The 25,657-nt window shown below is 41.8% G+C and overlaps 1 protein-coding gene and 1 long non-coding RNA gene across 5 annotated transcripts in view, besides 9 other annotated features; one reads left to right on the top strand and one right to left on the bottom strand.

The window, feature by feature from the left end:
- On the bottom strand, nucleotides 486-4,482 carry EIF2AK3-DT (EIF2AK3 divergent transcript). Its single transcript, NR_135540.1, has 2 exons — nucleotides 3,579-4,482; nucleotides 486-911 (listed from the first exon to the last, which is right to left on the bottom strand). It is a non-coding gene; the product is annotated as an EIF2AK3 divergent transcript (long non-coding RNA).
- Nucleotides 3,713-4,392: an enhancer, noted in NCBI's record as "NANOG-H3K27ac hESC enhancer chr2:88927437-88928116 (GRCh37/hg19 assembly coordinates)". NCBI's record gives its function as "activates a minimal SCP1, AML or CMV promoter by ChIP-STARR-seq in naive H9 embryonic stem cells {active_cell/tissue: H9 hESC(naive)}" and the evidence as "EXISTENCE:reporter gene assay evidence [ECO:0000049][PMID:30033119]".
- Nucleotides 3,822-3,951: an enhancer, noted in NCBI's record as "active region_16171". NCBI's record gives its function as "activates an Ori minimal core promoter by ATAC-STARR-seq in GM12878 lymphoblastoid cells {active_cell/tissue: GM12878}" and the evidence as "EXISTENCE:reporter gene assay evidence [ECO:0000049][PMID:35858748]".
- EIF2AK3 (eukaryotic translation initiation factor 2 alpha kinase 3) overlaps nucleotides 4,166-25,657 on the top strand; it is a 71,405-nt gene continuing 49,913 nt past the window's right edge. For 2 of the 4 annotated variants that reach the window (NM_004836.7, XM_047446430.1), the window contains exons 1-2: nucleotides 4,847-5,344; nucleotides 18,458-18,587. In NM_004836.7, the coding sequence (NP_004827.4) occupies nucleotides 5,037-5,344; nucleotides 18,458-18,587 (438 nt within the window). In that variant the 5' untranslated portion in view covers nucleotides 4,847-5,036. Of the gene's footprint in view, nucleotides 4,623-4,846; nucleotides 5,345-7,381; nucleotides 7,566-18,457; nucleotides 18,588-25,657 lie in introns of those variants that run through there. The other 2 variants (XM_047446428.1, NM_001313915.2) reach the window with 2 other exon arrangements.
- Nucleotides 4,393-5,072: an enhancer, noted in NCBI's record as "NANOG-H3K27ac hESC enhancer chr2:88926757-88927436 (GRCh37/hg19 assembly coordinates)". NCBI's record gives its function as "activates a minimal SCP1, AML or CMV promoter by ChIP-STARR-seq in naive H9 embryonic stem cells {active_cell/tissue: H9 hESC(naive)}" and the evidence as "EXISTENCE:reporter gene assay evidence [ECO:0000049][PMID:30033119]".
- Nucleotides 4,772-5,031: an enhancer, noted in NCBI's record as "active region_16170". NCBI's record gives its function as "activates an Ori minimal core promoter by ATAC-STARR-seq in GM12878 lymphoblastoid cells {active_cell/tissue: GM12878}" and the evidence as "EXISTENCE:reporter gene assay evidence [ECO:0000049][PMID:35858748]".
- Nucleotides 5,073-5,752: an enhancer, noted in NCBI's record as "H3K27ac hESC enhancer chr2:88926077-88926756 (GRCh37/hg19 assembly coordinates)". NCBI's record gives its function as "activates a minimal SCP1, AML or CMV promoter by ChIP-STARR-seq in primed H9 embryonic stem cells {active_cell/tissue: H9 hESC(primed)}" and the evidence as "EXISTENCE:reporter gene assay evidence [ECO:0000049][PMID:30033119]".
- Nucleotides 5,092-5,251: a silencer, noted in NCBI's record as "silent region_11732". NCBI's record gives its function as "represses an Ori minimal core promoter by ATAC-STARR-seq in GM12878 lymphoblastoid cells {active_cell/tissue: GM12878}" and the evidence as "EXISTENCE:reporter gene assay evidence [ECO:0000049][PMID:35858748]".
- Nucleotides 5,352-5,431: a silencer, noted in NCBI's record as "silent region_11731". NCBI's record gives its function as "represses an Ori minimal core promoter by ATAC-STARR-seq in GM12878 lymphoblastoid cells {active_cell/tissue: GM12878}" and the evidence as "EXISTENCE:reporter gene assay evidence [ECO:0000049][PMID:35858748]".
- Nucleotides 16,203-16,412: an enhancer, noted in NCBI's record as "active region_16169". NCBI's record gives its function as "activates an Ori minimal core promoter by ATAC-STARR-seq in GM12878 lymphoblastoid cells {active_cell/tissue: GM12878}" and the evidence as "EXISTENCE:reporter gene assay evidence [ECO:0000049][PMID:35858748]".
- Nucleotides 17,621-17,680: an enhancer, noted in NCBI's record as "active region_16168". NCBI's record gives its function as "activates an Ori minimal core promoter by ATAC-STARR-seq in GM12878 lymphoblastoid cells {active_cell/tissue: GM12878}" and the evidence as "EXISTENCE:reporter gene assay evidence [ECO:0000049][PMID:35858748]".

Genomic DNA, 25,657 nt, shown 5'->3' with positions numbered 1-25,657 from the left:
CAGGGATATGCAAACCAAAGCTACAATGAAATGGCATCACATACCTACTAGAATAGTTAGAATTAAAAAGACAATTACCAAATGTTGGTGAGGATATAGAACAACTTGAACTCTCGTGCACCACTGGTGGGGGTATAAAATGGTACATCACTTTGTGAAAATGCTTGGCAGATTCTTATAAAGTTAAACATCCATCTACTATATGAGCGAGTTATTCCACATCTAGGTATTTACCCAAGAGAAATAAAAACCTACATCTACAAAAAGACCTGTACGTACATAAATGTTCTCATAGTAGCTTTATGTGTAATCGCCAAAAATTGAAAATATACCAAATGTACTCCAACAAGTAAATGGATAAAGAAACATGGAACATATAAAGCAGAGTACTACTCAGCAGTAAAAAGGAACTAAGTATTGCTACATTCAACAACATGAATAAATTTAAAAACATTATATGGAGTGAAAAAAGTAAGACACAAAAGTACATACTGTATGACTGCATTTATTAAAGATGCTAGAATATGCAGACTAATCTATTGTGATGGAAAACAGATCAGCGGTTACCTAGGGGCCTCGTGTAGGAGGGATTGACCACAAAGGGACACAAAGAATCTCTTGGAGTGATGGGAATGTTCTGTATCTTGACTGTGGTATATACATCTGTCAAAACTCATCCAAATGTATATTTCCAATAGGTTCAGTTTATTGTACATGTATTATACTTCAAGAAAACTGATTACACATTCTTCCTTTCATCCTCACTAGCAGAATCCTCATTTTGCTTAGCAGCAGCATGGTCTGGCCTGGGAAATGTCAGTGAAAATTCCTTGGTGGTGCTTCCTGGAGAGCTCTTTGATAGGGGCAAATTCAGGTGGTTACATGCCTTTTGTCATTCCTCTTTGTCCTACCTATAATAAAGAAATGATACTGGAGTTGCCATCCCAAAACAGTGAGACGACAGGCAAAAGGAACAAAGTCACCCATGAAGCATGGAGAAACAGAAGGAGCATAAGTTTAAATAAAACATCACTGTAGAGCTGTGGTGTCAGTAAAAAAAAAAAACCCACTTCTTGCTTCACCCACTATATGGCAACGTTTTTGTTATTCACAATCAAATATCATTTCAACAGATGCAGTCTCTCTCTGTTAAGGGATTGAACTCACTGTTTCTAAATCTCAGACCTATTTTGCTGATTTTTTGGGCCACACTCAGTTGTAGAATCTTGGTTGTTTTGGGCAACCCTGGCTCAGGGTACCTGAGCACCAGCTTCTTTTCCTGGCCCAGCCTCACGGGCCAGCTCTCATGCCCGGTCCCCACTTTCTTACATTTCCCTGAGGCACCCAGGTTCCAGAGTTCCCACAAAGTCACTGTGAAGCTCCATGCTGTCCTAAAGCAGGTAGACTCTCTTTTCTCTCCTTAATTTATTTTCCCAGTCAGCACACTTCGACTCAGGCTTTTTTTCCAAAATGGAAAATTTGTGTTTTGTTCCCAAGTATAAAGCTTGACTCTCCTTACTGGCATTTTCCACCACTGTGCTCTTCTGCCCGCGCCTTTTTCATCATAGCACTTATCTCAGTTTTAATAATATATGTGTGATTGTTAATGTCTGTCTCCCTAACTAGATAGGTGTTAACCTTCAGAAGGGCGGGAACCACATCTATTTTGTTCATATCTTTATTCTCATTATTTGCAGGTGGTCATGTGGAATCCCTGAATGTTAAATGAATAAATAAAACTTCCACAGTATTTACAGGTGGCAAGTAGACTCCTAATTCATTAGTTCAGATTAATAGCCTTGTTCATGCCATGATCATTTTTTGAAAAAATTACAAAACCATGAAGACCAGGCCCACTAAAATATATACACTAATTTCAAACAGGTAGTTAACAATCATTTTTCATCTTATGTTAATTTTCTGACACCTTCCTCATACCAACTAGTATAATCCCTTTTAGGTGGGCAATTTTATCTCCTATTTTGTTGAGTAGATAATGGTCAATTGGTTTGAGTTCGCTCATCTATTTTCTCTACTTTTCAAAATAACTTACTCTCTAGGAATACCTCCTACGCTCTACTTTCAACATGGAAGGCAGAGCTGCCCCTTTTCCTCCAGATACTCTGGAATCTTGCTCTCGTAATCAACCCCCTCTGTCTACAGCAACTGCAGTCTCTTCCTTTCCAGTTGTCTCTTTCCTTCTGTCCTCAGGTATTCATTCATTCATTCATTCATTCAACAAACATTTATTAAATGCTTGCTAAACACTTTGCACTGTTTTATGTCTTCGAATACATCAATGAGCAAATCTTCACAGAATTTACATGCAAGTGGAAGGAAACACAGCAGACAATAAACAAAACAAATATGTAAATTACAGTATTTACATATTTGTAATGTATGTATCGGCTAAGCAGAAATAAAGCAGGAGAGAAATAAAGGAAGGAAGGTGGTGGAGGTTTTAATTTTAAATAAGGTAGTGAGGAGGGACTTCACTGGGATTAGCAAAGCCTCAAATAAAGTGAGGGAACATATCTTGTGGGTACCTGGGTATTATGTGCTAAATTGTGTCCCTCCAAAATTTACATGTTGAAGTCCCAACCTTTAGTGCTTCAGAATATAACTATACTGTATTTGGAGATAAGATCTTTAAAGCAGTGATTAAGTTAAAATGAGGCTGTTAAAGGTAGCCCCACACTCCAATCTGACTGGTGTTAGAAGAATAGGAAGAGACATCAGAGGGAAGAGGAAGTAAGAGGGCTGTCATCGGCAAGCCAAGGAGAGAGGCCTCAGAATCCCACCTTGATCTTGGACTTCTAGCCTCCAGAACTTCGAGAAAATAAACTAGTTTTGTTCAGGCCACCTGGTCTGTGGTATTTGTTAGGGCAACTCTAGCAAACTCATATACCTGGGAAGTTTCCTAGGCAGGCAAAACAACAAAGGAAAACCCCCCAGGTGGGTCTTGATTGGCCCAGTGGAGTGAGCAAAGACAGTATGAAATGAGATCAGAAAAGCCATAGGAACCAGATGCTGTAGCACCCTGTAGTCTATTTTAAGGACTTGACTTTTATCCTGAGTGAACTGGGGGACCTTTTGAGGGTTACGACCAGCACTATGGAGAAGCAAGAAGACCGGTGAAAGGTGTTCTAGACAGGAAAAACTTGAGTTGCTGGATCAAATACAGCTGATAAAACAAAGATTATCCTTTGAATACAGCACTGGTGGCCTCAGCGAGAGCAGTTTTGGTGGTGTGAATGCCTGACTGTAGTGTACTTGGGAATGGGAGAAGAGGAATTGAAGATAAGGAATTTTGAACACTTGAGTTTTGCCATACAGAGGAGCAAAGACACGTGGTAGGAGCTGGAAGGGGAAGAGAGGTTTCTTGTTTGTTTTGGGCTGGGGAGAGATTAGAGCATGTTTTTAGCAGATGAAGGATAATCTAGGTATACCCATATTGCCAACACCTTAACAAATCTTCACCGGTTTTGGACCAGGTGCGGTGGCTAATGCCCGTAAATTGCAGCACTTTGGGAGGCTGAGGCGGGAGGATGGCTTGAGGCCAGGAATTTGAGACCAACCTGGGCAACACAGAAACCCCATCTTTACAAAACAAAATTAAAAATTGGCCTGGCATGGTGGCACGCATCTGTAGTCCCAGCTACTCCGGAAGCTGAGGAAGGAAGATCGCTTGAACGCAGGAATTCAAGGTTATAGAGAACTATGGTCAAGCCACTGCACTCCAGCCTGGGCAAAAGAGCAAGACCCTCTCTCTAAAAAAAAAATTTTTTTTAATGTTCACTGGTTTTGATGCGGGTAATAGCCTCCCGGCCAGTCTCCTCCTCGTTGATGCTGTCACTGCTGAAGATGCATTTTCTTATCACTTCACTCATCTGCTCAAAAATCTTCAGGAAGTCTTGACTTGCAGCATTAAAAGTTCAAATGCCTTGGCTGAACATTCCAGTCTTCTCCACTCTGCCCTTTTGCAATTTCATCACTGTCTTTGGTGAGGTACAAAGCGTGCCAGGTCAGAGTCAGAAGACATGAATTAAAGTCATGATTCTGTGACCAACCAGCTACGTGATCTTAGGCTAACTACGTCAGTGCACTGGGCCGGGGCTCCTTCCCGTTCCTAAGGAGGCGGGAGGCGTGTCGGGCAGACTGGATTGTCACAGGTCACTGCCATCTCTAACAAGCGGACTTCTGAGCCCCGTTGCGGCCACAAGTAGGACCATCTCCTGCATCCTCCTTACCCTTCTACTTCTAGGGACCACACGGCTTCTGTGGCCACTTCTTGCTGCTTCGCTTTTGCCTTCCTAAGTAGACTAGGCTTTAGAAGAGCTACAATACCAGCTCCTTTAAGGTCGACCTCCTCCCGGTCACAAGGCACTTGCCTCCCACTCTTCACTTGGGACAGTCCTCTTCACAGTCAGAATCCGCCACGTAGTAAGTGCCGCTTCCAACCAATCAAGAGGCAGTTAGCGCAGACCTTTGAGGGACATCCACTTCCACCAATGATCTTCAAGTCTTCTCCAGCGCCTCGCTTTGTGGGGCGAGGCCAACCACCGCGATGGCCAATCTGTTGTAGGAAAGGTATTCCGGGAACTGATGAGCGCACCAATCAGGTAAAAAGACGTCGGGGAAGGGCATTTCTCATTGGTAATTGCGTCCGGAAGAGGGACGGGCCTCGAACGACGAAATTACGATTTGATTGGTAGGTGCGATGTTGACCACCAGGGAAAGTCCACCTTCCCCAACAAGGCCAGCCTGGGAACATGGAGTGGCAGCGGCCGCAGCCAATGAGAGAGCAAACGCGCGGAAAGTTTGCTCAATGGGCGATGTCCGAGATAGGCTGTCACTCAGGTGGCAGCGGCAGAGGCCGGGCTGAGACGTGGCCAGGGGAACACGGCTGGCTGTCCAGGCCGTCGGGGCGGCAGTAGGGTCCCTAGCACGTCCTTGCCTTCTTGGGAGCTCCAAGCGGCGGGAGAGGCAGGCGTCAGTGGCTGCGCCTCCATGCCTGCGCGCGGGGCGGGACGCTGATGGAGCGCGCCATCAGCCCGGGGCTGCTGGTACGGGCGCTGCTGCTGCTGCTGCTGCTGCTGGGGCTCGCGGCAAGGACGGTGGCCGCGGGGCGCGCCCGTGGCCTCCCAGCGCCGACGGCGGAGGCGGCGTTCGGCCTCGGGGCGGCCGCTGCTCCCACCTCAGCGACGCGAGTACCGGCGGCGGGCGCCGTGGCTGCGGCCGAGGTGACTGTGGAGGACGCTGAGGCGCTGCCGGCAGCCGCGGGAGAGCAGGAGCCTCGGGGTCCGGAACCAGACGATGAGACAGAGTTGCGACCGCGCGGCAGGTGAGGGGCTGCCGACCCGGGGGAGGCAACTTGTTTACGCGCGCGAGCCGCGGAGGATGCGGTGTAGGGGGGCGGAGATCCGGGACCCGGGCGGGCGTCTTCCCTCGGCTGCGGAGGGCAGCTGGCGACCTGGGGACGAGCGCGGGGCCACGACGCCCTCCCATCCCCCGGCCAGCGACCTGCCTGGGCTCGGCTCCCGAGGGCCTGGTGCTGGCCGACGGGTCAGAGCAGCATCCTCGCAGGTGCGGGAGAATGGAATTCCAGGGTTGCAAAGAAACGCCACTTCCCCTCTTTCATTGTTTTCGGGCATTGATTCTCTTCCAAGGAACCTTTCCCTCTTTTTCCTTACGCACATCACCTCCTGTCTGTGCTGGCGTGACAGCTGTTTTGAGAAAGGACTTTAGCAAAAGACGTCTGCATTTTCTTTCAAACACAACTCTGTAGTGCCCCCGGACAAGGATTGAGATCAGTGTCTAATTGAGATCTGCGGAACACCTGCATCCGAATCACCTGGGGTTGCTGGTGAAATCTACAGTTTTCTAGGCCCTACCCCAGTTTTACTGAATGAGACATTCCCTGGGTAAGAGCCTGGCATCTGCGTGTTTAACAAGCACGCCGGATAATTCTTGCACGCTAAAGTTTAAGAGCTATAGTCAGATTCTTGAATATTGGTTCTTGAACCTAAGAGCCATGGTTAGGTTCTTGAATAAGGGGTTTACTGTATAAACATTTAATATAGGGTTTTCTTTGAGTTTCTCAGCATTCAAAAAATGTTACTTCAAGGTGATTGTTTTAAAGCACTTTTCAAAGTCTAGACACAATGTAAGGCATGTTAACAGTAAATTTGGGGGACAGCCAATCTTATCACACCCGTGGAGAAAGTGATGTCCCATTTTATAAATGGAGTGCTAAAGGGAGCATTAAGTAAATTAAACTAGGGAAGGCTGGGCTCTGGATTGGAACATATTTTAGACTTATAGTCATTACTAGATCGTAACAAGTTAGATTTAATTTTAAATTAATATTAGAACTTTGATCTATATATCTGGAGACTACTATAAATAGGATAAGTACTAAAATTCTCTAGGCACCATTTGAATATATAAACATTTGTAAATATATATATATAAAACAAAGTTTTCTTAGGTTTGCTAATGAGTCAGTTTTCCTGGAAGAGTGTTTTTGTTTATCATAAATTTCTGAAGCTCCTGCTCAAAATGAATTACATGAAGTAGAGTTGAGACGTTTTCTTTTTCTTAGAATTCAAATCCACTTCAACAGGTACTTACTGGTTAACAAGAGCCCAAGGATGCCCTGGGTGGCAGAGGTTAGGCAGGTAGTTCCTGCCTTCCAGGAGAGTGTGCAGTCTAACAGTACGGATGAAACGAGAAGACCTATAACAACATTACAGACTAGAAACAGTGCCAGTGTCAGGGATGTCCCAAGGTTTTTGTGGTGTTCTACTAGGTGAGGTATGGGAGTGAGGGTAGGTAAGAAGATAAGAGAAGGTTGTGGCAGAATGAGTTGGTTCCTGAAAAATGGGTAAAATTGTAATGGAAAGTCACTGGACTTGAGGAAACAGCAAGAGGCACAGAGGCCGGAGATTATGTTTGGAAAACATTTTGTCTCTGTGTATGTCTGTGTGTGTGTGTGTGTGTGTGTGTGTGTGTGTGTGTGTGTGTACGTAAGCGATATAGACATGCACATATGTATGCTAGGCAGGGAGAAGTAGATGAGGATAGAAAAAATAGGTTAGAGCCGACTGTATATGCATATAGTCTGATGCTAATAGCATCATTGTCACTTGGGAGTATGTTAAAACTCCGGAGTGGGGCACCACCCCACACTCCCTGAATGAGAGTATCTGCATTTTAACAAGATCACCGTGTGATTCACATGCACGTTAAAGTTTGAGAAATGTTGGGTAGAGTATCCTGAGTGCCAGGCTTGATCAAAATTACACCTAAGGAATGTTTCTCTAGCAATAGTGTGTACTGAAAACTTGAGTTAAGAATACCAAAAGGAGAGTGTTATAGCAGTTCAGATGAGAGGTTTAGTGTAAAGTGGTATAGGACAGAGGGGACAGAGTTGAGATATTTGATGCAAAATCTAGGTTCCTGGCAAGTGAATGCATTCTTCCTTTCTTGGTACCCTTGTCCAGAGATTGAGACTGCGTGGCCAGAAGTTGACAAAAGAGGTTTAAGGGAGCAGGGAAGAAAAGGTAAGGGGTTTGGTGTTGGACATGTGACTCGGAGGTGCAGGCAGGACATCCAGAGGGAGGTAGGCGGGTGGAAATGAGTGACTAGAGCCAGTGAGAAGGCAGCATAAATATGAATAGGTGAAGCTGTGGGAAAGGGAAAGCTCATGAGAAAACCTCAGGAAATGCCTTTTATTTTAGGGAGGAAGATGAGCCAGCAAAGGAGACAGAAATACAGCTGGCTAGGTTGGAGGTACAGGAGGAGGACTGGGAAGAAAGATTTGGCGATGAGCACACTTAAAGAGTTTAAATGAAGCAGCAGAGACAATACTCAAATTGCAAGAGGTTAAAGATTCAGGCCCTTCTGCCCCAATCCCTCCTTTCCTCACTGATGAGGTAATTTTTAGGAGAAGGAACCTCCGAACTTACTTATGTACTGAAAAGAGGGAGCCTGTGTAGATAGAATGAAAATGAAAGGGGCTGGGCGCATTGGCTCAGCCTGTTATCCCAGCACTTTGGGAGGCCAAGGCGGGTGGATCACCTGAGGTCAGGAGTTTGAGACCGGCCTGGCCAACATGATGAAACCCCATCTCTACTAAAAATACAAAAAATTAGCCAGGCATGGTGGCGGGTGCCTGTAATCCGAGCTACTCGGGAGGCTGAGGCAGGAGAATCACTTGAACCTGGGAGGCGGAGGTTGCAGTGAGCTGAGATCGTGACACTGCACTCCAGCCTGGGCAACAAGAGCGAAACTCCGTCTCAAAAAAAAAAAGAAAAGGAAAATGAAAGGAACAGGTGATGAGGTGAAGGTAGTTAGAGAAGATCCACTTAGCAAACAGGAGGATCATTTCTTTCTCATAAATTGCAGTGAAAACAGGAATTTTGGCTTGAAGAGCATACATGATCACCAAACAGAATTGCCTAGGAAGAGATAGAGCCCAGTTTTGGGGTCTGCCTTGTAGTGTGGACTTAAGATAGTGTGGAATGTTTGAGAAACCTTGAATAAGTTGATAGTCAACAGGAGATAAATACGCAGTTTATAAAAGTTTTTTCTAAATGCTCTTAAAAAAAGATAAAAACCCAGAGAATATTAATTAGTTCAGTAATAATAGACCGGTAATTCTGTTTGTTTCAAGGAGTATTAGGGGAACAGATTTGAATTAACCAAGCGTTTACTATGAACAGCTGTGAAGAACTGCAGTACTGGCAAAACTTTTAAAAAGGAGGAGGTGTGGAATTATCTTTATTTTTGCATGTTGTCTTTTGATACTCAAGAAGCAATCCGAGATTCACCAGTTCATTGATACTTTTCTCTTGATGGAATTTTCAAGTTTCATTCTAAGTGCTTACTCTGCATATCAAGCATGTGAATGAGTGAATAAGCTATTTATTTTCTTTAAAAGTTAGCTAAAATAAACTTGTTTTTCTGGTACCAATCTCGTTGTCCATGTTCTTCTGCTAAACATTACATTAGTTGATATTTAAGTGGGATGGTCATTGCAGAAAGTTGGGAAGAAAGTCTCATCACCTCACTGTTAGATTTTACATATGTTTATGTAATTTTGTGAATTACCAGTCTTCTGACTTCAACACAAATAGCAAATTGCAAAGTGTTACTTGGGGTTCTTGGGATGGGTTGGGAAGACATTCTGACAATCTCAGAAGTTCTAAAGAACTAGTTTTATCTTAACTATCACTAATTTGCAAAGTACATGTTCCTTTTTCCTCTGGCTCTAATTCCTCTCTAACAAAAGTATTTCTAAATTTGACATTAATCTCTGGTGCTTCTTCAATTTGTGCATCTGCAAACTGATTTTTTTATTAAATGAGATAACATGAAAATATTTGCAAATATAAGATGATATAATTTCTCTTTTTTTCCTCTGTCGTTTTACAAAGTGATCTGATGTGAAACAAAGGTACAGAAATCTAGTCTTCCTCAGACTTTCAGATTTATAATCATTTTTTTGTTTGTTTTTTTAACTACTAGGACCCTTGAATAGTAGCATATCAGAATACCATGTTGAAAGGAAGCTCAGTCATATAGTCCTATTCCTATTCACTCACCCAACTCCAGACTTTTAAAGTTAACTAACAGTCACCTTTAAGGAAGAATTTACACAGAACTTTCAAAGCAAGTAATAAGCCAAAATAAATATACTTCAGGCAAGTAATGAACTATCCTTTGTGTCTGCAATTGTCTTTAGCTTAATTGATGCCAGGACTGTGCTTAGACTATGTGGACAGGGATGGGAGATTGCTTTTTATCTGATCTCAGGTCCCTGCATTCATAGGCATCTTCCAGATTGCAGAGAGGACCTGTCTTTATCAGTTGCTGTGAGCTGTAGCTTCAGCGTGTCTCTTTACTCCCTAAACATTGCCTGATAACTCCATTTGCTTTTCTCCTTTTTTGTAAGAGGGGAACTTCTTATACATTTTTATTACAAATTGTTTTAAAATACAAAGGAGAAAACTTGTAAGTTGCAGAGCTAAATGTGAGGGGAGGAGATAAATTTGTGTGTTTAATTCCATTCTATTTGTAAATGACCATTTTGATTAAAAGTCTTTCATAGGGCCGGGCGTGGTGGCTCACGCCTGTAATCACAGCACTTTGGGAGGCCAAGGCAGGCGGATCACCTGAGGTCAGGAGTTCAAGACCAGCCTGGCCAACATTGTGAAACCCTGTCTCTACTAAAAATACAAAAATTAGCCAGGCATGGTGGCACACGTCTGTAGTCCCAGCTACTCAGGAGGCTGAGGCAGGATAATCAATTGAACCCGGGATGCAGAGTTTGCTGTGAACCAAGATCATGCCACTGCACTCCAGCCTGGGTGACAGAGTGAGACTCTGCCTCAAAAAAAAAAAAAAAAAATTATAGAATAAAGTAGAAAAGGTACTTTCAAAAATGTTTTAATGTAACAGGAAAAGGATATCTGTTACGCTTATGTTAAACCTGTACCACTGAAAACTTAGATTGTATGTCTTTAAGGTCTAGCTGATATGCCAAAGTTATAAAGTATAGTTGGTAATTTTTGATATATTTGTTATGATTTGGGGCATGGCTAGTCTTGTCATATGTTTAAGTAAAGGAGGTTTGACTTGAAGATTTACTTAGTAGGTGAGGACCAGGAAGTATAGTCTAATCAGTACTACTTTGTTTCTAAACAAGAACATATGCCTCCTTTAGTGAGGGCACAAGTTTGGGCAAAGGATTCTCAGCTACGCCAAAAAAACAGGTTCAACCAAATCACATTTATAGTTTTGTGAAATAACGCCCTCTCCCCAACCCCCAGAAAGGATATTTGAAATTTTAAAATAAGCAGTTGTTAATGTAGAAACTATTTAATCCATACAATGTTCTCCTATCACCTGCTTGTCTTCTTTCACATCGGAAACTTCCACAGGAAATAAAAGTTCCTTTAAAATGATTTTATGAAGAAATTTAGCATACACTTATCAGAATTTGATAAACTTAACTGTAAATAGGCAGGTGTTCTGGGTAACTTAAGTCAGCACAGTTTTTCTTTTTTTATTGCGTATTCATTGTGGCATAAAGTCATTTCTCCTGGATTGAGGACATAATCAGAGCAATTACAGGATGAACGACATCTATGAGATTTCTGAGAGGAATAAAAAGCTGCACGTTTTAGTAATATAGTAGTTGCCACTTATGCAAACTTACAGTTAACAGAATAATGAGTTAAAAACCTGAATTTCTGCTCCTGTTCAAAATTTTGTATTTGGTGCATAACCTTAGGTAAATCACATCTTTTCCCATCTTCTCAGCCTTTTTGGTGGTGATTGTTTTGTGTAGATAATATGTTTGTCCTACCAAGGTTTATTCATTCAACAAACATTTATTTAGTTTTACTGGGGCCCAGGTACTGCTAGGCCCTGAGAGTAGATAAATGTCTTTTCCGTAGGAAGCTCCAAGCCTGACAGATCATTGTGTTAAAGAATTAACTATCCTCGAATGGATAATAAGTGACATAAAAGTAGTGTGAGTGAAAAGAATGGAAGTGGCAAGTTATTGAGTCCCGGAATGAGAAAAATATCAAGGACAGTGTAGGCAACAGAATAGTGTGAGCAAGGGCACAGAGCAGGGAGTTTGTACAGTGAGCACAGAGCAGTGGTTCCTAAGCCAGGGCTCCAGGACCCCTACAGATCTGCAAAGATAAAAATGGGGATCCATGAGACTGCCAGTATTTTAAAATAACCTAATGGAAATTAAATATTTAATAGAAGGTACATTAAAAAGTGAAGTTCCTTTGCTTTGAACTAGAATTATATAAAACCTTATATAGTAATTACAGTTCTTTCAAGAAATGTTGAATATTTTGATTGGTTCTTAAGTATTTCCTCTAAAGATGGGAGAATTTATTATACACAGTGTTCATTTGGCAGGTGGAATAATTTAAGACATGGAGGAAAATATAGACAAGAGAACTTTTGAAAAGTTCACCCCATGGAAAGGGGGGAGTGTGGAGCTGGGAAGGAGAGGGGAGAGAGGGTTGGGCTGGTACAAGAGGCAGAAAAATGAGATTAGGAAAGTACACCGAAACCAAATTGTGAAAGGCTTTATGTGCCACACCAAGCAGTGTGACCTTTCTTTTTCAGTGGGCACAGGGAACCTTGGAAGTTTATCAGATCTCTATTACAGAAACAAAACTGTGGGAAGAAGAGAGGGGAAAGAAACCTGAGGCAGGAAAATGTGTTAGAAAGCATTTTAAGGTGTTCTGATGAGAAATGAGAATCTTCTAGAGCAAGAGCTGTGGTAATGAAGAAGGCAAAGATTTTTTTTTTTTTTTTTTTTGAGACGGAGTCTCGCTCTGTCGTGCAGGCTGGAGTGCAGTGGTGCAATCTTAGCTTACTGCAACCTCCGCCTCCCAGGTTCAAGTGATTCTCCTGTCTCAGCCTCTCCCAATTAGCTGGGATTACAGGTGCATGCCATCACACCCGGCTTACTTTTGTATTTTTAGTAGAGATAGGGTTTCACCATGTTGGCCGGGTTGGTCTTGAACTCCTGATCTCAGGTGATCCATCCGCCTTGGCCTCCCAAAGTGCTGGGATTACAGGGGTGAGTCACCGTGCCCAGCCAGAAAAGATTTAAGAGAAGCTTCAGAAATAGAATTAAGAGTACATGGCTGTTGTTTAAATGTAGAGGATGAGGGAGCACAAAGAGTTGATGTCTGATTTAAATGTTAGGTAATAGGATGGATGGCTACCCTTTTAAGTGGCAGGAATAGATTGTGGGAAAGAAGTTTCCTGAGCCTGTTATGGTGATAACAAGTAGATCCTGCTGAAGATGCAGAACTAGGATAGGGGAGAGATGGTGAACTATAAATCCTGTACAGGTTTGGGGGCTGTCATACTATAGATGGAGGTGAAGCTGTAGACATTGACCATCTAGGTAGAACATGTAGTACAAACAGGAAAATGCCTGCTCTATAGATAGAAAACTATAAGGATGATAGGTGAGGCCGGGCACGGTGGCTCACGCCTATAATCCCAGCACTTTAGGAGGCTGAAGCGGGCAGATCACCTGAGGTCAGGAGCTCGAGACCAGCCTGGCCAACATGGTGAACCCCCACCTCTACTAAAAAATACAAAAATTAGCTGGGCATGGTGGTGGGCACCTGTAATCCCAGCTACTTGGGAGGCTGAGGCAGGAGAATCGCTTGAACCTGGGAGGCGGAGGTTGCCATTGAGCAGAGATCGTACCATTGGGCGACAGAGCAAGACTCCGTCCCCCCAAAAAAAAAAAAAAAGAATGATAGATGAGGACCCAGGAGGGACTGGTCCTGTAGAAACCAGGAAAGAAAAATGTCCAGAATGAGGAGCTGGCCACAACGGTGGCTTTTGTGAAGACAGGCCTGATGAGGGGAGTGAATCTGGCAGTTAGGAAACCATTGAAAATCTTTCTTGAGAGTGGCTTCCAAGGATTGGATCATGGGTGAGAGTTCAGGGCTTGCTGAGGAATCATCCAAATAAATGCTTTTGTAAGCTACAGCAAAATGTAAGTGAGAGACAGAAGTCTCCAAAGTATTTACTGACAGAGATGTTCAATATGCCTTCTTCATCCACATCATAAATTTAATTTTTCTCTATGGAAATGACTAAGGTAAAACAGTGTTTGCACAACTGGTCTTATGAGACTCACCTGGGGTGCTTGTTAGGCTACATTCTCCCAGTCTCCCTCTTAGGATGAGACGTGGGAACCTTTAATGGTTTTTAACAAGCACTCCAGATTATTTTTATGATCAGGTACACTTGGGTTACACTGAGATAGGTGAAATAACCATATTTTGCCTATGAAAAAATAACTCGAATGAAGCCATGAGGAGAATGAGAGGAGAGCCTTGGGGATGTACACCCAGGTCTGACTTAGGCTTTGGTTCTTTCCACTGGAAAAGCTGTCTCTGCAGTTCCTTCAATTCTTGAATAAGTTAAGAGTTTTTCATCTTGATCTTGGAACCCTCAAAATAGGGCAAGTGGTCTTGGGGAGATAAATAACCTTATATTCTTCCTGTTTTGGGAGGTGTTCATTTTTCACTTTTTATCTCTGTTTATGTTTCTTCTTCTTTCTGGAGACAGCATTTCACTCTAACACTTAGGCTGGACTGCAGTGGTGCAATAACAGTTCACTGCAGCCACGACCTCCTGGGCACAAGCAATCCTCCCACCTCAGCCTCTGAGTAGCTGGGACTACAGGCATCTGCCACCATACCCGGCTAATTTTTAAAGTATTTTTGTACATTTGGAGTCTCAGTATGTTGCATAGGCTGGTCTGAAACTCCTGGCCCTCCAAGCAGTTCTCCTGCGTCAGTCTCCCTGAGTGTTGGGTTTACAAAGGAAAGCCACTGCACCTGGCTGTGTTTGTTCTAAATGCCATACCTTTTTTAAGTTCAACTTTTATTTCAGATACAGGAAGTACATGTGCTGATTTGTTACATAGTATATTACACCCAGGTAGTGAGCATAGTACCCAATGGTAGTTTTTCTTTTTTTTTTTTGAGATGGAGTCTCGCTGTGTTGCCAGGCTGGAGTGCAGTGGCGTGATCTTGGCTCACTGCAACCTCTGCCTCCTGGGTTCAAGCGATTCCCCTGCCTTAGCCTCCTGAGTAGGTGGGACTACAGGCATGCACCACCACGCCCGGCTAATTTTTTTTTATATTTTAGTAGAGATGGGGTTTCACCACGTTGGCCAGGATGGTCTTGATCTCCTGACCTCGTGAGCCACCGCACCTGGCCCCAATGGTAGTTTTTCAACTCACCCCCGGCCAGTACTCTGCAGTGTCTATTGCTCCCATGTTTATGTCCATGTGTGCTCAATATTTAGCTTCCACTTATAAGTGAGAACATGCAGTATTTGATTTTCTGTTCCTGTGTTAATTCGCTTAGGATTGTGGCTTCCAGCTCCCTCCATGTTGCTGCAAAGGACATGATTTCATCTTTTTATGGCTGCATAGTATTCTATGGTATATATGTACCACATTTTCTTTATCCAGTTTACTGCTGATGGGCACTAGACTGATTCCGTGTCTTTGCTCTTGTGAATAGTGCACTAAATGCTGTATCTCATTGCTATCCTCTGGTCATCCCTGCATTCAGCCTGAGGACTTTGTTTTTTAGCATTATCTGTCTACTTGATGTTTTTCTTGATCTACATTATGCCAATGAGCACCTCTTTCTTAGACTGTGATTAGGTATAGTAGCAAATCTTTATTGCTCCGGTGGTGCTTCTTAATTCCAACCACAGCAGAAGGGGTGCCTCCATTCCAGAGACATGCTTCTGGGGAGGAGCCCATAATGAATACTACAGCTGGCTTGTAATGCAAGAGAGTCTTGGTCAACTTGCGGCTTTACTTTGAATTTATATACATTGTGCATCAAGTGATATAGAAGAGATAAAGTTGCATCTTGTATTCCTGACCAGGAATATAACTATACATGCTTACAGTGTGCATGGTCTTTAAAGCTGATAAATACACATAATGAATTCATAGAACAACTGTACAAGTCATCCTTTAAACAACTATTTAGGCCGGGCAGGTGGGATCACACCTGTAATCCCAGCACTTTGGGAGGCTGAGGTGGGCGGATCACCTCAGGTCAGGAGTTCAAGACCAGCCTGGCCAACATGGTGAAACCCCGTCTCTACTAAAAATATAAAAATTAGCCGGGTGTGATGGCGGGCACCTGTAATCCCAGCTACTTGGGAGGCTGAGGCTGGAGACTTGCTTAAACCCAGGAGGCGGAGGTTGCAGTGAGCCGAGATTGCGCCATTGCACTCCAGCCTGGGCGACAAGAGCGCAACTCTGTCTCAAAAAATAAATAAATAAAAACAAATAAATAATTTATGGAGAGTCTGCTCTGTAGCTGGAGGTGTATGTTCCAGGCAGAAGGAACGGTAGATGCAAAGGCCCTAAGCAAAAATTTTGCATGATGTATTTGAAGAGTTGAGGGGGTCTGTCTATGGATATGCAAACTCTGAAAAGCCTGTTAGACAGTCTAAATCAGGTAGGTGGTTAGGTATGTATGTCTGCAGTTCAGGGGAGAGGCCTGAAACCAGATATAAATTTGGGAGTTGCCAGGATATAGATGGTATTTAAAGCTATGAGACTGGATGAGATCACCAAAAAAATTACATGTAGGTAGAGACTATTTTAAGAGATAGGAAAGATAAGAAGGAACCAGAAAATGAAACTGAGACAGAATAGCATAGAACTGAGTCCAAAAAAAAAAGAGCGTGGTGACCTGGAAGCCATATAGAGTGTGTTTCATGGAGGGCAGAAATGGCTGGTCAGGTGCTGCTGGGTGGTCAAGTGAAGCAAGACCTGACCACGGGATTTATCAGTGTGAAGGTCATTCTTGACTCTGACAAGAACCATTTTAGTGAGGTGGTAGGGGCGAGAACTTGATTAGAAATAGTTCAACATAGAAGGAGAGGAAGAGATTAGGAGACAGTATATAACAACTCTTTCAAGGAGTTTTGTTGCAGAGGGGCAAGAAGTAGATTGGATGCTTGAGGAGGAGAAGGATTCATTTTGTTTGATCTGGTTTGGTTTTTAAGTTGGGGAAAATAGTAGCAGGTTTGAATGCTGCTATAACAAAATACTGTAGACTGGGTGGTTTATAGACAACAGACCTTTATTTCTCATAGTTCTAGAGGCTGGGAAGTTCAAGATCAAGGTACTGGCAGATTCAGTATCTGGTGAAGACTGATTCTTCACAGAAGCACTCCTACATGGTGGAAGGGGCAAGGGCATCTCTGGGGCTGCTTTTATAAAGGCATTAATATCATAAGTGAGGACCCCACCTTCATGAACTAATCACCTCCTAAAGCCCCACCTCCTGGTATGATCACCTTGGGGATTAGGTTTCAACTTATGAATTTTTTGGTGGGGACACAAAAGTTCAGTTTATAGCAAATGCTGATGGGAATATTCTAGTAGGGAATGACTGATGGTGTGGGAGTGACAGGAGACATTTGCAGGAGCAAGACCTCACGAATGCGTAAGGGGGAGCTCTGTTGCTTAAGTGGAGGTGTTGGCGGTAGATGGGAGTGTGGACAGTTCACTTGCACTAACAGGAGGGAAGGTGGAACCCATGGTCCAGGTACTGTTGCATAGATAGAGGTGGTAGGGGGAAACAAGCTGATTTCTCCTGTTTTTCCCTATGAAATAGGAAGCACAGTCACCAAGATGTGTGAGCTTGAAAGAGCTGGCATCAGAAGTTTGAGGAACAGGGAGACATGAATGGTTAACATGGTTCAGTGGCATAATGGATAGACTAGGGAAGGGTGTTATGATTGTTGAGCATTGTTAGTAGCCTTTTTGAGGTTGGTGGTCGTTAATTAAAGTGAGGATAGTCAACATGGTATGTTTCTCTTCAGATACGTTCAACTGCACAGATGTAGGAGTGAGAAAGGGGAGAAGATTGACTTTAACCAGTTCTTCCAGAGTGTGACATGTGAGAGGCAGGGTAGGGAGTTGAGGTGTGTGCAAAGTAGTGCTTAAGATGAAGGACTGTGGGATTTTAACTGGTTAAGAAAGAAGTGAGGGCATGGTGGTAGTGAAGGTTGTAGTATCAGTGGCTTGTAGGTTCTCATAGGGTCAGAAGTTTCTTGGAGTCAGGGAAGTAGAGGAAGTGAGCTGAAAAGAGAGGGGTTGGTGGTTAGGGGGTTGCGGTGATTTGTAATGACAAGGTCTAGAGTCTGACCACAGGAGCAGCTGAAGCAAGGTAGATAGATATTGAAAACCCAAAGAATTGAGGCAGAAGTATGTTAAATATGTTAGGTGGTGACAGTAAACCAGCAGCTGAAATCCTCCAGGATGGGGCTAGTTACCTAAGGGTCAATTAGATGTCTACTAGGAGGGGTAAGGGACAAAACAGTCTGATCCTGAGGATTTTCAGAGAGGAGAGGAAAAAAGTGGTCTGGAAATGGCAATGAGATACATGGAGTCCACTTACCCCATTCTGAGCAAGGGTTATGGGAGAAAAAAATTATCTGTGCTTCTGTAGGGAAGCGATATCCTCAGGGAAAGCCCGGTTTCTATGAGAGCAAAAAGATAAGTGAACGATCAGGGAAGACAGTGTTTCAGGGGAAAGGCTTTCAGGAGGTATGTAGGTAGAAGAGGACATACCAGGGGACATTGTGTTCCTTATGGGAATTAGAGTGTGGAATGAAGGGTGACCTATGAGTCAGGGGCTTTTCATAAGTTACATAAACAGATAAAGGGCATATTGAAATTGTCTTGGTCCAAAGACAGTGGTGGCAAGAGTGGTAGAAGGCCCCCTCTTCCTTTCTACGAATAGAGGCCTGGACATGGGCTGGTTTTCTTTTGAGCATGTGGGATAAGTGCCCAATATCTTAGATATCTGTTAATTTTAAAAATATTTTTAATATTTACAGGTCATTAGTAATTATCAGCACTTTAGATGGGAGAATTGCTGCCTTGGATCCTGAAAATCATGGTAAAAAGCAGTGGGATTTGGATGTGGGATCCGGTTCCTTGGTGTCATCCAGCCTTAGCAAACCAGAGGTAAGAATTTTCTGTTAACTGTTGACTAGAAAACTTAATTCTAATGAGTAATTGCTGATATTAAGAAGTTTGGGGCCCTATTGCCCAGGTTTGAGGCCTGTCTGCCTCTTACAGTTTGTGTCCCTTTAGGGCAATTACTTAACTTTTCTATTCCTCAGTTCCCCTCTTGTGAAATGAGATGGATAATAACATCTTCTTAGGATTACTTGGGGCATTAAGTGAGTTAATCCTATAAGTGAGCAGCTGAGGATACTATCTGCCATATCAGCAAAGCACATTATCTGAGCTATAAATGATTGTTTATTATCATCACAAGATCTCTAGGAATAATAAGATAAATATAAATAAAAACTTTATTGAATTTTACTAGTTAGAAATCTGTGCTGCAAAATCCCATAAATTATTATTCCCTAATTATAAGCAGAATTCATCTGAAATTTTTTTGTAATGTAATTCCAGGTAAATTTGATTATTTGCAGAAAAAGTGTACTTAATAATTTGGAGCTCTAGAATAGTAGAGGGGAAAGAGCATAGATTCAAAGAGACCTCGCTTCCAAAATTACTCTGTCACATGACTTCAAGCCCCTCAGAGCTTTAGTTGTTCTCATCAATAAAGTGAGGACACAGCCTGCCCGCATGGGGTACAGATGGGGGAGATTAAATAAGAGAAGCTGATTTTCCTCACCTTTAGTTTCAATTCTGATGGATTAAGTCTCTCTGCTTTTCTGGAGCTTTAGTCTGTTGTTTAAATTACTTAAAAATAAGTCCATCTTTTGAGTGGTGACTACTAACATTGAAGCAGTCACCTCTGTTTTCCAGAATGCCTGTGGCCTTCTTTTATATCGAGTTGTTCTTGTAGGACACTCCCTAGGGTAGTCTTTTTTCTCTTTTGTCATCAGTCTTTTTCTTTAAAAAGCTTCCTAGCTGATATTAAGTATGGAAAAGACAAAATCGTACATGAGGGGTTTGAGAATGACCTGAATATTGGTGACCAAACTTTCCAATGGGAAACTGCTACCAGTGACGCATCTATAATAACAGACTTTCCTGTGCTTTCCAGTAAACCCAGCCCAAATCTTTTCTGGTGCACCCAAACTGATATTTAAGGAAACAACACTGCCAAATTTCCACATTTGCTGTGTGCTGAACCCTGAGTAGACTTTATAAGTGGCTACTGTTTCTCAGTATACTGAAAATATATTTTGAGAATAGAGAACTTCTATTGTATTATGAATTATTAATACAAATAGCAATTTGATTGTAAATTACATTAAGTTTATAATTGAGTATGGTATTCAAGTGAATTACTACTTAAGATAAACTTGTTTATTTTTCTTCTGCTGGGATTATGCTTGGGTATGCATGTTTTACTTTATTTTTAAACTAGACATAAGAGATGATCAGCAAAATGAGAAGATTGTAAGCTGCTTACATCTGAGGTAATATCACAGTGTGTTGTAGTAGTTCAAAGCATGTGTGTGTTTGCAAACTGAAATATATATAGGTACAAAAAGATAAGTTGCATGGTATGGCAAAGTAGAATGCAAATAGTTGTAATAACCTGAGTGCTAGTAAGTGTGTTTGAGTTATAAGCAGCTAGTTGTATTTGAAGGTTTTCTTACACATAGCCGTTATATTAGCTGTTTTTAAAACTACAGTTCAACATTCTTACTGTCTTTAGTTCGCACCATTTTCTGTGGTTTATTAGGGCTCCCTTGTTTTCAGTGTCCTCTCTCACACCCACCCACCCCCAATCCTAGATCTTTTGGATAAAATTTTTGCTTTGAAATGTTGAATCGTAGGCCGGGCGTGGTGACTCATGCCTGTAATCCCAGCACTTTGGGAGGCTGAGGCGGGCGGATCACAAGGTCAGGAGTTTGAGACCAGCCTGGCCAACATAGTAAAACCCCGTCTAAATACAAAAAATTAGCAAGGTGTGGTGGCAGGCCCCTGTAATCCTAGCTACTTGGGAGGCTGAGGCAGGAAAATCACTTGAACCTGGGAGGCGGAGGTTGCAGCGAGCCAAGATCGTGCCACTGTGCACCAGCCCAGGCGACAGTGCAAGACTCCCATCTCAAACAACAACAACAGCAAAAGAAATGTTGAATCGAAAGCCTTTTCAGAAAGCTCACTGGTCGCTTTTCATGCAGGAAAAGAATCCTGATACCTCTTTGCATTATCTAGATTTTCATTTTCTACTTCATAGAAAAAAAAAAAGAAAATCTGAAGGTATTGAAACAGCTGCGATAACATGATAGATTAACTAGATTTTACTGCTGCCCCAAATTCTTGGGACCATTTCTTGAGAGTGGATGTTTAATATGTAGAGATACTGATGATATAACGTTGTTCCCAGCATTGTAACATATACTCGATGCTGCTTACACAGTGTAATCCTCATAGTAACCCTTCTGAGGTTGATAAGTTGGTCCCATTTTGTAAAGAGGAAATTGCAGCTCAAATAAATTTGCTTGAGGTTGCTGACCGGCTATATATATGGATGAAGTTGGAACTGAGCCCGAGATTGCCTGACTGTACTCCATTCTGCCTGCTCTGAAGCCCTTTTGCCACCTTGTATATACCTCCCTTTCTTTACAAGCTCAGGCTCTTCATAGACTACAGTGGTTCTGAGACTGTTTGGTGTCAGGACCTGTTTATACTCTAAAAAATTATTGAGGGCTCTAAAGAGCTTTTTATCAGGCTGGAGTGCAATGGTGTGATCATATCTCTCTGCAGCCTTGAATCCTGGGCTCAAGCAATCCTCCTGCCTCAGCCTCCTGAGTAGCTGGGACTACAGACATGCACCACCATGCCCAGCTAACTTTTTTTTTTGTGGAGACAGAGTCTCGATATTGCCTAGGCTGGTCTCGAACCCCTGGGCTCAAGTGATCTTCCCACCTTGGCCTCTCAAAGTGCTGGGATTACAGGCATAAGCCACCACGACCAGCCTAAAACAAATGTTTAAAAAACATGTATTTTATTAAAGAAATAACAATAAACCCACTCCACAATAACGTAACATTTTTATGAATAATAACTATATTCTTTAATACAAAAAATTTAATGAGAAAAGTAGCATTTTACATTTTTGCAAGTCTCTTAAATTTTTGGTTTAATAGAAAACAGTTGTATCCGCGTCTGCCTTAAATATATTGCATTGTTGTTTTGATTTAACTACGTAAAGAAGAAAATCCAGCCACATACAAATGTAGTTGGAAAAGGGAGGAATATTCTAGTAGCCTTTTCAAATAATTGAGGCCATTCTTTTTTAATAATCTGCCAAAACAAGTGGAAGTTTTTTAAAGGTTAGTTGCAGTGTGGAATCAGAAACCATATCAATGAACATTTTATACTCTGAACACTAACATCCATTGGTCTGTCTTGCCTTTTACTCATGCATGATTTTATAACTTAGAAAATACTGACTGAGTTACATAGATCTTTTAAATGTTGGCATATTTCCTTATAGAATATTTTTTAAAAAAACAAATTTGTTGCTGTTACCACTGATCTCATCAGAAAAGTCTGTAAGTACTGGGAAGCTGTGAAGCGCAAATTGGCAGATCCAAGTTGTTTTGTTTTGTTTTGTTTTTTGTCTTTTAGAGACAGGGTCTCACTCTGTTGCCCAGGCTGGAGTGCAGTGGCGTGATCATAGCTCACAGTAGCCTCCAACTCCTGGGCTCAAGCAGTCCTTCCACCTCAGCCTCCTAAGTGGCTAAGACTATAGGCGCTTGCCACCAAGCTCAGCTACCTTTTTTTTTTTTTTTTTTTTTTTTTTGTAGAGATGGAGTTTTCTTATTTTGCCCAGGCTGATCTCGAACTGCTGGGCTCAAGCTATCCTCCTGCCTCAGCCTCCCAAAGTGCTGGAATTACAGGCATGAGCCACCATGCCTGGCCCAAGTTTTCCAGTATTCTAGAATTCACTTAAAAACATAAATTTTATCACAAATACCGTCAGATGTGTTCTTTGAAGTAAAAAGTTCACTTTGTTCATTTTTTAGAAAATGTCTACCAAATACCCAGTTGACTTTTGAGTAAAATTGGAGCTCAATGAACAAAGCTGCTAGTTCAGCTCACAACTCAGTTCTAGAAGTGCTTTTCCTCAAGACATGCTTTAGCATGTGGAGAAAGGCTTGTTACATACTTCCTAATTAGTCATGCAGAATAATAAAAAGATGTGTTACTCAGGGTCAAGATTTAATGAAATCAGTCATTTTTATTGCTTCATCAAGAACATTTGTAAGTGGAACTGTCTCTGTTTTTTTCCTTTAGTTCAGGTGTATGACAGTGAAGAATACCATTGTATTCTTAGTTTGGTTCCTGAATTGTGCCAAGGCACCGGCAGTTTTAGTCAGCATTGCTTTTATACCTTCAGGGCAAATAGCAACCTTTGTGAAAAGGCAAATCACACCTTGTTTGAAAACTGTGTGCTATTTTGCACCCCTGAAAGAATCCACGAACCATACTTTGAAAATTACTTAATTGGTATATGATAGAAATATAAGAATATTTGTGAAATTATAAACATATTAGCAAGGAGAGAAGACTGTATTGTGAGCATGAGTCATCTGTTATTCAGCAAGGTGTGTGCTGCTCAGCATCTAGAAGTTATGTTCAAAAGTTGAACATTTGTCCAGTTCAGATTTAGAAAAAAAAAAAGTTGGACAAAACACCACAAAAGGATCATCAAGGCCGGGCGCGGTGGCTCACACCTGTAATCCCAGCACTTTGGGAAGCCAAGGCAGGTGGATTGCTTGAAGTCAAGAGTTCTAGACCAGCCTGGGCAACATGGCAAAACCCCATCTCTACAAAAAATACAAAATACAAAAAAAAAAAAAAAATACAAAAATTAGCCAGGTGTGGTGACATGCACCTGTAGTTCCAGCTACTTTGGAGGCTGAGGTGGGAGGATCACTTGGGCCTGGGAGACGGAGGTTGCGGTGAGTCAGGTCACACCACTGCACTCCAGCCTGGGTGACAGAGTGAGACCCTGTCTCAAAAAAAAAAAAAAAAAAAAAAAAAAGAAATCAAAAACTGCCATTTGAAATGCTGTGAACTGGATGCATAGAGTAATACTACCTTCAAAATGCATCTGGTGCAGTGTTTTCTTAAGGTCCTTAACCTTCATAATAGTTAACTTTTTTAAAAGTAGTTAACTTCCTCTCTCAGAAACCCAGTGTGTTTGGTTGTAAAGGCTGGTGTAGGGAAGAGGGCCAGTTGTAGCAGGCAGAAAGAGCTGGCATGGATATATAGCAGGTGTCACCTCCCAGGTAACAATAAATAGGTTCATGGCTTCCTGTGGGGACTCCTGTGTTAGAATGTCAGTTTCTCCAAGCTTTCATCAAGAATGGTATGAAAGTTGGGCACAGTGGCACGTGCCTCCTGAGTAGTCGTCCCAGCTACTCAGGAGGCTGGGCCCAGTTGAGCCCAGGAGTTTGAGGCCAGCCTGGGCCACATAGCACAACCCTGTCTTATGACGAGGAAACAGATGTAACTCAGAAGACCAGAGAAGATGTATTCTCTGCAACTATCAAAGTTACTTATTAATCTGAGAAGCTGAAGGATAAAGGATTTGATAGACTGTATAATAATTTTTAAGTTATTGATAAAGGAATTGATTATGGATCCCATGTACTTTTGCTGGAATACTAAAGCCACACAGGAACTTTTTAGACTGTGTGGTATTGTGGAGGAGGGACTAGGATTCAGGAGCTTCAGTTTTAGTCTTAATTCTTCCATTAACTTACTGTGTGAACTGGCTAAATTATTTAATCAGTAGAGCTTTAATTTCCTTCTCTGTAAAGTTATAGAATTGGACTACATCTCTAAAGATAATCTAACTTCATGCATCAGGTACAGTCACATACATGAAACACCCAAGTAAATTATCTGGAGAAATTTTTGAACTTTCCCTTTTACTACATTTAAGGATTCTTCTGAAAATAAAGAACAAATTCACTAGGAATTACCATTAGGTACATACTTGCCTCCTGGCTTGCTCTGATGTTCTTAACCTTTTCTGATCCAAAAGGCTTACAGAATAGTGTATTTTGTTGCTTTAGTGGGATTTTGATTACGTCAATGGAAAAAATAAGCTCCTGGAAGATAAGGGAAATTGACAGTTCCACTAAGAACAGATGTTTTAAATTACATTTAGAATGAATTGTATGAATTGTGTACCTTGGGACACACATCTCATTTGCCACTATCTCCTGAAAAGAGTGTGGATACATAACCAAGCTAAAACCGTTAAGGTGCATGTTTGTGTGTCTTAGAATAAATAATGCACCTAAAGTTCACTCTATTAGCTTTAACAGATGTGCTTAGGTTCTAAGCATAATATTTTTGCCAGTTAATAGTAGCTAAGAATTTTGTTTTTAATTTTCAGATGTGAAATCTGATTTGCTTTCCTCTAGTAATTTATATTCAGATTCAACCTTGATAAAAGCACTAAGGAAATTTGTCTGTGATTCCTCACTGATTGCCTTAAAATTTTGTTTTGTAACACATGAGCATCGTTTTTTCTTTAGGATCTCTGGGCTACATTTGGATCACTTCACCAAATCTAAGTAGATTGAACTATCTACTTCTTTATGTCTTGGAACTCATTTTTAAATATGAAGACCTTCCTTATTGTTATTCAGAATGCATATTGTAATTGTGTATATATAACTAATTTGTACTTAGATGAATACCTTTATCTTTATTTAGAGATACCATATTTGTTTTCTGTTTTGGTTTTCTGTTAAATATGCCCTTTTTTTCCTCTTAAGAAGAACAAACAACTCTATCGTCTAAACTTAGATAAGGTTTGGGGTTTTGCTTTATTTTAGGCATGTTTCTCCCCAAGGGACACCGCCTTTCTGTTTCAGACAGGTGCAGAAACAGACAGCTCTGATGCTGGTGCTCTCCAGCCTCCTCCCCCTCCCCATATCAGACTACATTCCACTAATATAAGGGCTTTGAAAAGTGGGACTGCCTTTGAAAAGGGTACAGCTTTACTGGTTACTGATTTGTTTAGAAAGAGTCTATTAGTAGACCCTTTTAAGTATTTATTAAAAGAGGATCTG

The sequence above is a fragment of the Homo sapiens genome, chromosome 2 (genome assembly GCF_000001405.40).
Source record: "Homo sapiens chromosome 2, GRCh38.p14 Primary Assembly".
Lineage (NCBI taxonomy): Eukaryota > Metazoa > Chordata > Mammalia > Primates > Hominidae > Homo > Homo sapiens.
The sequence above is the reverse complement of the archived record's forward strand: the minus strand, read 5'-3'. Positions and strand labels throughout refer to the sequence as shown.